This window comes from Homo sapiens, chromosome 6 (genome assembly GCF_000001405.40).
Source record: "Homo sapiens chromosome 6, GRCh38.p14 Primary Assembly".
NCBI classification, from domain to species: domain Eukaryota; kingdom Metazoa; phylum Chordata; class Mammalia; order Primates; family Hominidae; genus Homo; species Homo sapiens.
Genome location: NC_000006.12, coordinates 43,945,225 through 43,958,250, shown reverse-complemented (window position 1 = coordinate 43,958,250; position 13,026 = coordinate 43,945,225). Strand labels below are relative to the sequence as shown.

Here is a 13,026-nt window from a genome sequence, read left to right as displayed (position 1 = left end):
CCTGTTCAGGCAGATATCCTTTCTCCTCAATGATTTTCTTAATTCTGGGAATTTGCCACCCCTTGGTTGGCAGAAGCAGCTTCTGTTATCTTAATATTTTTCAAGCCAAACCTCTTTTTAAAATTATTAAACCATCCTTTGCTGGCATTAAATTCTCCAGCTTTAGAGTCTTTACCTTCCTTTTGCTTTAACTTGTCATATAATTACTTCACTTCTTGAATATTAGGTATACTTTTCTTATAGCAATCCTGCACTCACCATACAAGCTGATAAAAAGACATTTTACAAAAAGTGCAAGGTTTTGTGCCTACTGGCATAGCTGCAGTGATGGCTTCACAAATTTCCTTTTCTTTTTTTCACGGTGGTCCTTACAGTGGATTCGTTTATCTTGAAATGGTGGGTAACCACAGCTGCAGACCTCAGTCTACAGTATATATCAAGCAATTCAAGTTTTTCTTGAATGTAATGACTTTCCTCTGCTTCTTGGGAGCACTTCCAGCATCACTAGTGGCACTTCGTATAGATCCCATGGTGTTATTCAAAGTTTACAGCATTGCACTAAATACAATGAAAGATATGTGAGAACAGCAAGAGATCTTTCTTTACTGTGATACACAATTTACTGGAGAGATGAACTGCTCATGCAGAGATGATTAACATCGCATGGCATTTTAAGCCCTACAACACTTGAGTTCACCACAATAGCAACAAGAGGTAGCTACGAAATTATTATAGCAGTACAGCATACACTACAGTTAATTTTATGCAGTTATAACTTAATGCTGTATTTTTATGTTTACATTACTCTCAACTATGAATAGTGTCATTTACAATCTGTGTTTGTGTGTGTACATTTTGATAAATTATTAACTTTTTATATTAGATTTGTGTACATTTTATGGTAGTAAATGATAAAATGACTAGTAGCTACACGTGTTTTATGCATTCATGACATACCTGCCTTTTTCTTATTTTTTTTTTGATATTGACAGGCTACACAGTTTGCCTGCAGGTTTTTTCAAATTGTTGCAAAATCTCCAAAACATTTACCAATATATTTACTGAGAAAAATCCATGTATAAATGGACCTGTGCAGTTCTAACCTGTGTTGTTCAAGGGTCAATAGTAATTTTATAATTAGTATTTTATGCAATTGTAGTTTAGATAAGTTAAAAGAAAAATGTATTTATAGTGTCTTACATTTACCTATGTAATTACCTTTTTCGTGTGTTCTTTACTTCTTCAAGTGGATTCATGTCACTGTCTGATGTCATTTCCTTTCAGCCCGAAGGACTTCCTTGAGTACTTCTTGTAGACACGCATGCCAACAACAAATTCTCACCCTTTGTTTACCTGGGAATGTCTTTATTTCAGTTTCATTTTAAAGGAATACTTGTATTAGATATGACTACTTGGTTGACAGTTTTTGTCTTCTTTTCAGCACTTTGAATATGCCATCCCACCTCCTTCTGGCCTCCATTGTTTCTGATCTGAAATCAGCTGTTAATTATATTGTAGTTCCCTTCTATGTAATGCATCCTTTTTCTCTTGCTGCCGTCAAGATTTTCCCTGTCTCTGTCTTTCAACAGGGTTACTATGGTGTTTGTCTATGGATCTTTTTGTATTTAGCCTATTTGCACTTTGTTTGAATGTGTAATGCCTTTCATCAAATTTGGAAGCTTTTTGGCCACTATTTCTTCACGTATTTTTTCTGCCCTTTTCTCTCCTTCCGAAACTCCCATTATGTGTATAGTGATATGTTTGACAATGCTCCACAGATCTCTGAGGCCCTGTTCATTTTTCCTTGTTCTTTTTTACTTTCTGTTTTTCAGCTTGGATAATCTCAATTGATCTATCTTTAGGTTTTCTGATTCTTTATTCTTCCAGTTCCAAGTTGCTGTTAGACCCCTGCTGTAAATTTTTCATTGCAGTTATACTTTTCAATTCCAGAATTTCCAGTTCTTTTCAAAAATATACATAATTTCTACCTTTTTATTGATATTTTCTATTTGATGAATAATTTGATGAGAGTATTTCCTTAATTCTTTGTACATGGGTTCTGTTATTTTGACAACATTTATAATAGCTTCTTTGAAGTCTTTGTCTGTCAAATGCAACATCTGGACACCTCAAAGACAGTTTCTCTTGACTGCTTTTTCCCTCTGAATGGATTACACGTTCCTGTTTATTTGCATGTCTTACAGTTTCTTGCTGAAAACCAGACATTTTTGATAATACACTGTAGCAATTCTGAATGCTGATTCACAACCAGCACCACCACCACCACCTGGGTTGTTGTTGCTGAGGTTTTTGTTGGTTGATTGGTTGTCTAGGGATTTGCCTAGGCTGATTCTATGGAATCTGTCTTCCTCACAGTGTGAGGCCGCTGATATCTCTGCTCAGTTTTGTTTTATTTTTAATTTTTGTTTTAATTTTTCAGCCTGGCTTCCTAGGAATTGCCCCTGGGTCAGCATAACTTAGTGTTCAGCCAGTGATTGGTCAGAGGTAGATTATGCTTAAATACCTTGATCTCATAAGGTTTCTACCCTCTGCCAATGGATCTGTATGTGGGTTGGGGAACATATTCAAACTTCAGGGGGTTCACAGGTCTCCCCTGAATTTAACTCTCTGTATGCTCAGCCAGGGATGAGTAGATAGCCAAGCTCTTTCAGTCTCCCCCAGTGTGCATACAACCTTCCACATCGTCAGGGGTAGGTGGGAGCTCATCAAGGCTCACTATGGCTTTCGTGCTCCTGGATGTCCCTGTTAGATGTCTTGCTGTTTTGATGATTTTTCTTGCCACAACTAGTATTACACTTCAGCCTACCTGCAATGTTGGCCTTAACATACATAATTTTTAAATAAAGAAATATACCTATACTGAGATGCACAATGATATATTCACTGACAAAAGTGCACAAGGGAACAAATTTGGCAACTGTGGTCTAGTTTTTGGTGTCTCTGACTGGTCTTCCCCAGGCTGGAAGCTATAATAGAATGCTGAGCTCTGGACCTGGCACTCCTTGGGTGGGGTCTAGGGGGGCACTTAGACAGGCTTTTGCAGAAGCCATCTCGGGGACAAATGGTGGTCATCCAAGGTAGTTGAACTTGCTTCCCTGGGACAGCCAGCACTGCTCATCTGGGCAGGGACTCTGCCCCTAGGGATGCAGGCCTGGCAGTTCCATCAGCAGGCTCGGGGTGGGAAGCCAGTTGCCCTCTACACTGGCTTCAAGTCACTAGAAGCCTGCCAGACACTCAGAAGGAAGGTCTCGCAGAGCCAAGAGAATGATCAGTTTCCTCAGGGCAGGGCTGCCGGGGAGGGTCACCCAGTAAGAAGCTGGCTCCTGATCCAGAAGCCCAGGCTGCAGAGGGCTGGGGCCTGTGTTCTCCTCCACCCCCTGAGCACTCACTTAGAAGACAAGGAGTCAGAGAGCAGCCCCATCCCCTTGGGCACTGCCCCTCTCCTTGGAGCGGGCACATAGAGAGGCCTGTGCCCGTGAGCTGAAGGTCAGTGTGCTCGGCAGGCACTGTGGGGTGGGGGAGGGTGGAGGGCAGAGGGGAGAGCTGGGCTGACAGTCACGTACGCTGATGTCACTGGTCACTCCGCCTCCCTGAGGTATCGCTTTCCTCATGGCCAAGCCTGCAGCTGAGTTCAGGGGGGCAGTCACGTCCCATCCCTGGCACAGCTCTTTAGGCCACTCACTGCACTGCCTCCAGGGCTGCTGAGGTCAGGGTGGCACTTACCAGCACTACCCAGTGTCAGCTCTGCTCTGACAGCAGGGTGGAGGAGCCTAGGGAGTGGGGAGAGTGGCGGGGACAGGTGTCTGGGGGCTGGGAGTGGCCAGGCTGCTGAGAAAGTGCCCCAGGATGCCTTGGGGGCTGGCCCAGCCTGGGGGGCTAAGCTGGGCTTCTATCACAGGTGAGCAGAGGGACAAACCAGGAGCTCCCAGTCTGAAGGAGAAAGACAGAACCCTTGCCCTCAGGGAGTTTCCAGTCTGATGGGAGAGTCAGCCCCTGCTTATAGGGAGCTCCCTGCCCCATGAGGAGACCCAGCCCCTGTCTGCAGATGCAGCCGTTGTGTCTGGGCTGAGTGTGGTAGTGGCGGTGGTCAAAGCTCCTTCCTATTCTCTTCCCCATGTAAGGTTCCCAGGTCACCCAGATTAGGTCCTCTGGAAGATCCTGTCCCTTGACACGTTGAGGACCTGGCAGGTGCCCTGCATGTGACTGCCCCGCATGCAATGTGGGGGGGCTGCCAGAGCCCAAGTGCAGACAGACGGAGGCGTCCCTGTGTCTGAGCTCGTCCTTGGGGCTGGGTCCAGCAGAGGGAGCTGCCAGCCAGCAGGAGCTGAGTCAAGCTGTCCCTGACCCCTGAGATGGCCTTGAGAAACTCCCACCGCTCACCCAGGGTAGGGGATTCACCCCATGATGGGAGCTAAAGGGCCTAGATTTTTCCCATGGTTGGAACTGAAGTGCCTAACAGCATATATGGGAGCCCAGGCTGCTTCAGCCCACCCCATCAACCCGTGCTGTCCCCATGGAGACCGCTCTGCAGAATCACAAGTTCTTAATTCTTCCAACTGAGCCTATGGAGTCCTTCTCACCATCCCCGGGGTAGACAGTAATGCAAGGAATCAGACCTAGGTGTGAGTTCTCCTCCCTCCCTTACTAGCTCTGTGACTCTAGGCAAGTTAAGTAACCTCTCTGGGTCTTGGTTTCTTCCTCTGCTGCTTCATGGGCTGCTGTAAAGGGGAAGTGCATGAAATTTGCCAGGCACATAGTAGGTGCCCAGTTAAGGTAACTTCCCTTTCCTAACAGACACATCAAGCTGCATCCAGAATGAGGTGGCACTAAGGGAACAAGGGGCATGACCCTTGGCTCTTCCCTCGGCACCCTGCCTTGCAGCCCTTCCACTCATGTGCCCATGGCTGTAGGTCAGGTCACCCCCCAGCAAGACTTACTGGCCACTTGCCACCCCCATGGAGACCATGCTGCAGTCTCCTTGGGGTTTGTAGATTCTGAATATTGCCTCCCTTTCCTATTCAGCATATTTACTGAAAACTTTCTATGTGCCAGACCCTGTTCTAGGCACTAGAACGGCAGTGAGCAAAATTGACAAAAGTCCCTGACTTCATGGAGCTGGCATTCAAGTGCAGGGTGACAAACATTAAACACAATTTTAGAGGGTGGTAGGTGCACTGGAGAAAGATAAAGGGAAAGGGGACAGGAGTGAAGGGTGTAGGGTGTGATGCAATTTTAAATGGGGAGGTCAAGGAAGGCCACCCTGAGAGGATAACATTTGAGTAAAGACTTGAAACTGGGAGCCATGTGCATGACTGGAGGAGAACATGCCCTGTAGGGGGAGCAGCACATGCAAAGGCCCCGGGGTGGAAACAGAGCTGTTTATTGGAGGAATAGCAAGGAGACCAGTGTGGAATGAATGAGGGAGAGTAGTGGGAGGTGAGATCAGAGAAGTAGGAGGGACTAGATTTTGTAGGGGCTGGTGGTAGGCCATTGTCAGAACTTTGGCAATGTCCACAAATGTGGACACAGAGAAGGAACAGGAAACTTCCATTTTCCTGATGGATAATGGGACAGTATGGAAATGCCACCTGTTTAATAAAGATGAGCCCAGAACTCCCAAAATTGGCACTGGAAGTACCTTCCTGACTAAGAGCGGCAGCTTGGTGCCTGGATCTGCCCCATGGGGGTCTCTCGCCAGATTCTGATGCCATCTCACAGTGGTCTTGTGGGGAGAGGTATGAGCCTGTTCAAGGGAGTGTCCACCACAGCCTGAGGGCAGGCGTGTGTCTTGTTGATCCTACATCTTACAGGCACTGAAAGAAGGAAGGAGTGAATGAATGAATGATGGACACAGGTGCTGTCCTTTAATTCTTTTTAGCACCAGGGACCAGGCTGGAGTATTTAAAAAGCCAAAGGCAGTAAACTCAGAGAGATAAGGCCTTTGAGGTGGTGTGGCTGACAATGCATTGCCTAAGCCTGCTCTTTTTCCACTTGGAGGCCCCCTACAGGGTGCCTCTGCTGGCTTCTGGGTGGCATCTCTGTGGCCAAAGCCCCATGACACTCACTCCTGCAACACAGACTCATCTCAGACACCCAGCACCTTCAGAGGCTGAGCTGGGAGTCAGGATTCCCACCTCCTGAAATCCAGCATCTTGTCTGAGGCCTTCTCTTTCTTCCCTGAGCCCCACCAGAAGGAGCCGCCTCTTTGTGGGGAGTTCCCCCATACCCCCACCCCACACACAAAGTCCGGCCTCATGGCCCTCACCCAAATGACCCTAATCTCAGTTGGCATCAGACAAGAGCTGCCTCAGGCAGGGGTGGGGAGTGGCCTAGAGTAGAGGAATATTACTAATGACACCACCACAGTAGCGGCAACTCACACTCACAAACACTGCCCTTGTGTCAGACTGTCCTAACCACGCCATCCGCATGATCTCATTTAGCCCTGAGAGGCCTCCATGAGCTGCCTGAGGGAATGGGGGCCCCAAGAGATCAAGGGACTTGTCTCTGAGGGGCACTTCCAGGTGCTCTACCCTGGGTGGGGGTGAAAGCTCTGGCAGGGCCCTGGCCCAGAACTGATTCTTCCAGCTGCTGCTAGGCCGCCCTGCAGCAGCCAGGCAGAGGGGTTCATCCCAGGGCACCCCTATCTCCTGTGCGACCCAAGCTAAGTATGTCAAACTCCAGCCCCATCCTTCAGAGCAGGACCCTGAGCAGCCCCCTCCTGTCTCTGGCTGCACTGCAAGGACAGCAGAGTTGGCTGCCAGGGCTCGGGCCGCCCCCAGGGTGTGCTGCTGCTCCTCTGGACTGCCAAGGCTGCCTGCCTGCTCACCCTTCACCTCTGGGCCAGCTGGGCCCGCCAGGGAGAGGTGCTGTAAGCAGGGACAAGCCCAACTTCCCTCTCAGGCTGAGAATGTGTCTCCTGCCTGCAGAGAACAGATGTGGGGACCCACATGTACAGAGGAAGACTTGGAGACTTCCAGAGCCCATGCCTCCTGCCCTGGGAGAGGTTGCTGGAGAGCTGGGCCCTGCTTGCTATGAACCCTGACCATTCCAGGCTTTACTTGCCCTTCCCAGGCTAGCACAGCTGCTGCCCTGCCTGCCCAGCTCATGGCAGGTAAGACCACATGTTGCAGGAAAACTGCAAACTGCAAACAGGGGCTTCTCCCAATTCACCCCCTGCATTCTCCTCTCCCTCTGCATCTGCATGCCCATGCCACCCCTTCCCTTCAAGGGCCTGTCCTGGAACCCAACAGCTGGATGATGCCCACTTCCTTCTGAACGTGGAATGCCGGGAACCATACCTCTCACATGGCCACAGCTCGCCTTCCTCTTGATTTCTAGTCATTCATGCACAGGTTGGACTGCTAAACATGGAGACAAGCCTGGGGGGACAAGACTGATGAGATATGAGTCCACTCAGCAACAGGGCTTGATATAGAGCCCTGTTCTTCCTACTGCCTCTTCTTTCTAGAAAACAGTGAGATAGAAGTAGGTGAGGAGTAAGGGAGTGAGACCGGGGCTGAGGGCTTGGGGAACAATAGAAAGAACCTGGGCTGGGAGAACACAGACCTGGGGTTGTGCCCTGGCTCTCCCTAACTGCTCCTACCCCCATGCCCCTCCCGTTTAAACATTTGAGAAAAGAAGTGATGCCTCTAGGGTCTCAGGCTTAGTCTACCCATCAGACAAAGGCTCCACTCATCTCAGAACCCAGAGCTGGCAGGATGGGAGCCAGAGACCTGATGGAGGTCATGAAACTGGCAGAGAGAAAACTCGCAGAAGTGGCCCACCCTGTGGCCTGGGCGCGTGCAGCTGCCTGATTCACAGCCCCTCCTGGCAAAGCCTTCATGAAGCCTTCGTGCGTCTTCTCCAGAGCTGGGTTGGAGGCTGCTTTGCGATCCCAGAACCTAATGGAGGGTCTGGCCTAGAACATGCCCATAATACTTGATTGTTGAACAAACGAGGCGGAGTTGAATGGGGTCCTTGCCCACACCCACATCAGCTGGCACTGACAGTAGCCTTATCATTGAGAAGGCTCAGCAGTGAGCACAAGGAGGTGGGCCTGAGGATGATGGGCGTCCTGGACTCCAGGAAAGCGGTTTGCTGGTAAGCAGTTCCATGGAAAAGAAAGGATCCCATGGCTTTACACTTTGGAAGGCTTGGAGAACCCGGAGAGACACCAGGTTTTGCAGTGGAGCCCTTCCTCGCCCATCTTGGCCAAATAGAAGGAGGTGGGTGCAGGGTGCTAAAAAGCCCTCCATTTTGAAAGTCCATGTTCAAAATCTGGCAAAATGGACTTAGGCCAAATACCAGTGCATGGCTCACCCTGGAGGAAGGAGCTGAGATCTCAGGGATGAAGACCTCAAATTGCATTCTTTCTTTTAGCTCTGTTGGAGCAAAAAATAGCCCCAACTTCTCCCCCACAGGGGGGACAAGCCAACAGCAGAGAAGAGTGAATCCGATGGGTGAGTCCCAGAAAAGACAAGAGATGTTAGGATTGAGCAAGCCCCCTTCATGGGGCCAAGTCTGGGGCTAGAGGGACTTTCATTTCCAGTGCTGAAAGACCTCCTGCTCATAAGCACAGAAACCTCAGCTACAGACGGAAGGCAGAAAGCCAAAGCTGGGCTGAGCATGTTCTAATGTATAAAAGTGTGAAGACTCTATTTAGGAAATGACAGACTTCTGAGCTTGAAGTCAATTCCCAGTGAATACTTGAGAGTTGATTATTATGTGAATTCATAGATAAAGAAGACAGATGGACAGACAGATAAATAGTAGAACCCTTCTGCTTACATGTAATTTCATATATTCTTAAAACATGGAGAGATGGGTTTTGTTACCATAGTTGGCAAGTGAGGAACCTGAGGCATTTGGAGGTTAAGTAATTTGCCCCAAACCACATCGCTAGAACTGGGCAGGACAGGCCCCCAGCTCTGTTGACCACAAATTCCAGGGATTTCCTCTCCAGACCCTCCAGCTGGTTCTACTGGAAGCAAACAATGCCGTGCTAACCAGCCTCAGCTCTTTCTCACTGGGATGCTGGACTGCTGGAGGTGAGAATGCTGAGTTTTGGCCAAGAGGGTAATATAGGCCTGTTAGGATATGCTAGTGAGGCCAGCTCCCATGCTAACAGCAGGGACTCAACCATGGTGACAAATGATGAATGGACACCTGGAATTCTCTAGGGCTTGTTTCACGGCCCTTGTCCTTGGCCCCATCCCCCTCAACATTTTTATCAATTGCTTGAATGGAGACCTGAGAAGCTCCCCTCCCTCTGTTTGCAGATGACCCACAGCTGAGAGGAGCAGGCTTGGCAGCACAATGAGGATTCAAAATTAGCCTGACAGTGCCTGGAACAATGGGTAAAACCAACAAGAGAGATCAACAGTAGGCATAAGTGACAAGTCCAGCTCTAGGGAGAGAAAAAAATCAAGTCAAAAGGCACATGGGGATTGATCCTACAGAAATGCTGACTTATGTGCAAAAGGAGTCCTGGCAACATGGCCTTAAATGCTGCAAAGGCCTAGAAACAACCAAAATGTCCACCAGTAGGGGATTGGTTGAATACTTTAGGTAGATCCACACAATGGAAGGCTATGGGCCTGATACAGAGAATGAGCCAAGGAATTATGTACGGATAAGGAAAATTCCCCAAGATACCTGGTTAAGTGAAAAAGCAAGGTGCCCGACAGTGCACACTGATAGTGTAGACTATGCAGCTCTTTGTATGATTAGGAATGTGTGTCTCCGTTTGTATATGTACAGATCATCTGCAGACAGATACACAAGAAAAGTGTATCTGAAAAGTGGCTGGCTGGGGTCTTGCTTTGTACTGTATGTATATCTTTTGTGTATTTTTTTGTGCCATATATATATTTGTGTGTGTGTGTGTGTGTGTGTGTGTGTAAATGGATAAAGCAGCCCTTGTATCAATTCTAGTGAAAAAGACCTGTAAGTCTGGCCCACCATAAACTCACTGAGCGCTAATTAAAAACAAAAACAAACAAACAAACAAAAAACACCAAACTGACTGTAATGTGAGGTTATACCCACAGGAACACAGGGCCCTGACAGGAGGTATATGTTCTGCTATGCTCTGAGCTGGTCAGGCTGTACTCGGAGTGTGGGGTCTCTCTGAGGAGCCATGTTTGAGGAGAAACATTGGCAGTTAGAACAGACCTAGGGGAACAGCTTGGCTGGGGTGGGAGCAGGGTAGAGGAGAGAACCTTGGTGGGCTTGGAGATGCTGGAGGAATGGAGAGCTATCGAGTTTGGACAAGATGCCTGTGCCTGTGGGATGGGAGAGGAATATGCTGACTCTCTCTGGTTTACTAAAGGACTGGCATGCAGAAGCAGGAGGAACCTGATTATTTTATTTGTTCTGAAGAACAGAACTTGGATCAATGGTTTGGAAGGTACAGAGAGGTAAATCTTGGCCTTAGGAAGTCCTATCAAGAATTGGAACAGCCCACTAGTACAGGAATGGGCTCCCATCACCAGGTGTTTTCAGGTAGCCACTGTGATCATCTATCTAGGATGTTGGAGTGAGCATTGACAATCACCAGGGCCCATATTCTTGGGCTCACTACAGGCTTATTGAAACTGAATCCCTGTAGTTAAAGTCTAGAAATCTGCTTTACTTATTTATTTTTACCTCAGATATAGATAATTGATTCAATTATACTCATTGATTCCCAGCATCCTAACAGTAGTCTATTCAAAGCCCCCTTGAAATGTTACTTTTCATTGTATTTTTTCTCCTTCACCTACATTTCCACTCTCATTCTTCCCGCCTTCCGACCAGACCTAGACCTTCATTCTATGTGTTTGATATAGGTCTTTAAATATGCATCTTCTTTGTATGCCGGGTGGTGGTGTTTTCTGCATGTTTTATAATTTATATAAATGGTACTATGCTGTAATTCTCCTTCTGTTTCTCACTTTTTTCATTCAACATTGCTATTAAGATCTATGTCTGTACATCTGGCCTGTTTCTAACTGCCACTTGGAAAGAAGCCACCCACCTTACTTATCTACTCCTCCAGGGATGAACATTTATGTTGCCTCCGACTTCCTACTACCCCAAATTTTGCTGCCACAAGCACCATGTACAAGTCCTCTTTCATTCCTGCATGATCATTCTCCCCTGCTATAGACCCATTTGTGAGATTCTGGGATGCAGGCCATACACATATTTAGTTTCACTAGATACAGACAGATTGCTCTCAGAATGGCTGTACTAGTTTATCCTCTCGCCTATAGGACACAAGAGTCCCATCTCCCTATACTGAGCATGATCCACCTTTCTAATTTGTGCCATTCACTTAGGCGTGAAGCTATATTATTGTTTGAAGCATGCATCTCTCTGATGACTAGTGAATTAGCATATCTCTTCATCAGCCACTGCACTCCCTCTTTTAGGATGTGCCTATTCATATTTTTTGCCCATTTTTTTTTTCTATTGAGTTTCCTGTCTTTTTCTTGATGATTAACAGGAGTTCCTTGACTATTTTCTTTCTCTCTCTCTCTCTCTCTCTTCTGGCTCCAGTGCTCAACCTTGAGCTTGACTATTTTACATATTAATCGCTGCCAGGTTTTTAAGTGGCAAATGTCTTCTCCCAGTTGGAGAATCTCCCATCTTAGCAAGTGTACTAAGGATCAGCCAGGTTTGGGAAGCCCAAGGACAGATATATGCCACCCGAAATCATTTCTAATTCTGCCATTTCATGCTTTCTTGGGCTTTCTGAGGAGATTCCTTGCCACTTCTGTGGGGAAAACAGACTTCAGGAGGGGCGAGGGTGGGTGAGGGTTGGGGAGTCATTGTGAATGTGGATGTGGAGCTGGGGTGCCACCTGCATTTTGACCACCTCTAGCAGCAAAGCATTGTGTTGTGAAGATGTTTATGTGACCTGGCTCAGCCAGGCTTGTGAGATCTTCCTGGGGCAGAAGGCTGATAGGCAGTTCATTGGGATAGAGTATAGACCATCTCATTGTTCAGAAGAGATCACCAATCTACTGGAATTTTCTTAACTATAGAAGCTTAATTCTTTTACCTCTGTGGAAGTTTTAAAATTTGGCTGCAAATTTTTCAGTACTCCTATTGAGAGGTAGGAGGGCCTCTTATCCCTCCCCTTGAATTTATTCCCCTTGAAGCTTTAGTCACTTCCTGTGCCTAACAGAACTCGGAAGAAATGATGTTGTGTGACTTCTGAGGCTAGGTCAGAAAAAGTCATGCATCTTCTGCCTGGCTCTTTTGGGATACTCACTCTGGGAGAAGCCAGCTGCCATGTAAGGCATCCAACTACCCTGAGGCTGCTATGTGAAAGAGGTCACGTATAGGTGCTCTGGTTAACAACATTAGCTGAGCTCATAACCAACAACTGGCACCAACTGCCAGACACATAAGGAAGCTCTCTTGGATATCTAGCCCTAGCTGATATCTGACAGCAACTGCATGAGAGACTGTGAGTGAGAACTGCCCAGTCAAGTCCTTCCTCAATTTCTGACCCAGCAAATTATGAGTAAACAAAATTGTTGTTTACACCATTAAGTTCTGGGGGGTAATTTGTTATGCAGCAATAGTAACCACAACAATCTCCTTGAACCTAGTAAGCATAGTTTCTTTAAATCTTTGCTGATTACTCTAAAACATGTGGCCTCTATGGGTCTGTTTCTGTTGTCTATTATTTCTGATGTTTTTAATAGTGTGTTATCTGACTTCTTATGTATATGGTTATTTTTGATTATGTGTTGGACACTGTATTTATACCATCATTTGTAAAAATAAAATGAAGCCTAGAATGAGGTTATCTTCCTTCAGAAAGGATTCACATTCGTGTCAGCCAGGTGCCTAGGACAGTAATAATACAGGATCTCCTACTTCAGTTTTGAGGATTGAGTGAGTGGTTCACCCATAACTCCTAGGGTGTAGCCCTTTTGGGGTCCCTGCTTAAAGAGAGGAAGTTCATTAAGTTCCACCTCTTGGCAAGCTGGGAACTTCAATCCATTG

At 47.0% G+C, this 13,026-nt stretch overlaps 1 annotated feature.

Annotated features, from left to right (window-relative positions):
* Window positions 6,604-7,589: an enhancer, noted in NCBI's record as "H3K27ac-H3K4me1 hESC enhancer chr6:43918399-43919384 (GRCh37/hg19 assembly coordinates)". NCBI's record gives its function as "activates a minimal SCP1, AML or CMV promoter by ChIP-STARR-seq in naive and primed H9 embryonic stem cells {active_cell/tissue: H9 hESC(naive and primed)}" and the evidence as "EXISTENCE:reporter gene assay evidence [ECO:0000049][PMID:30033119]".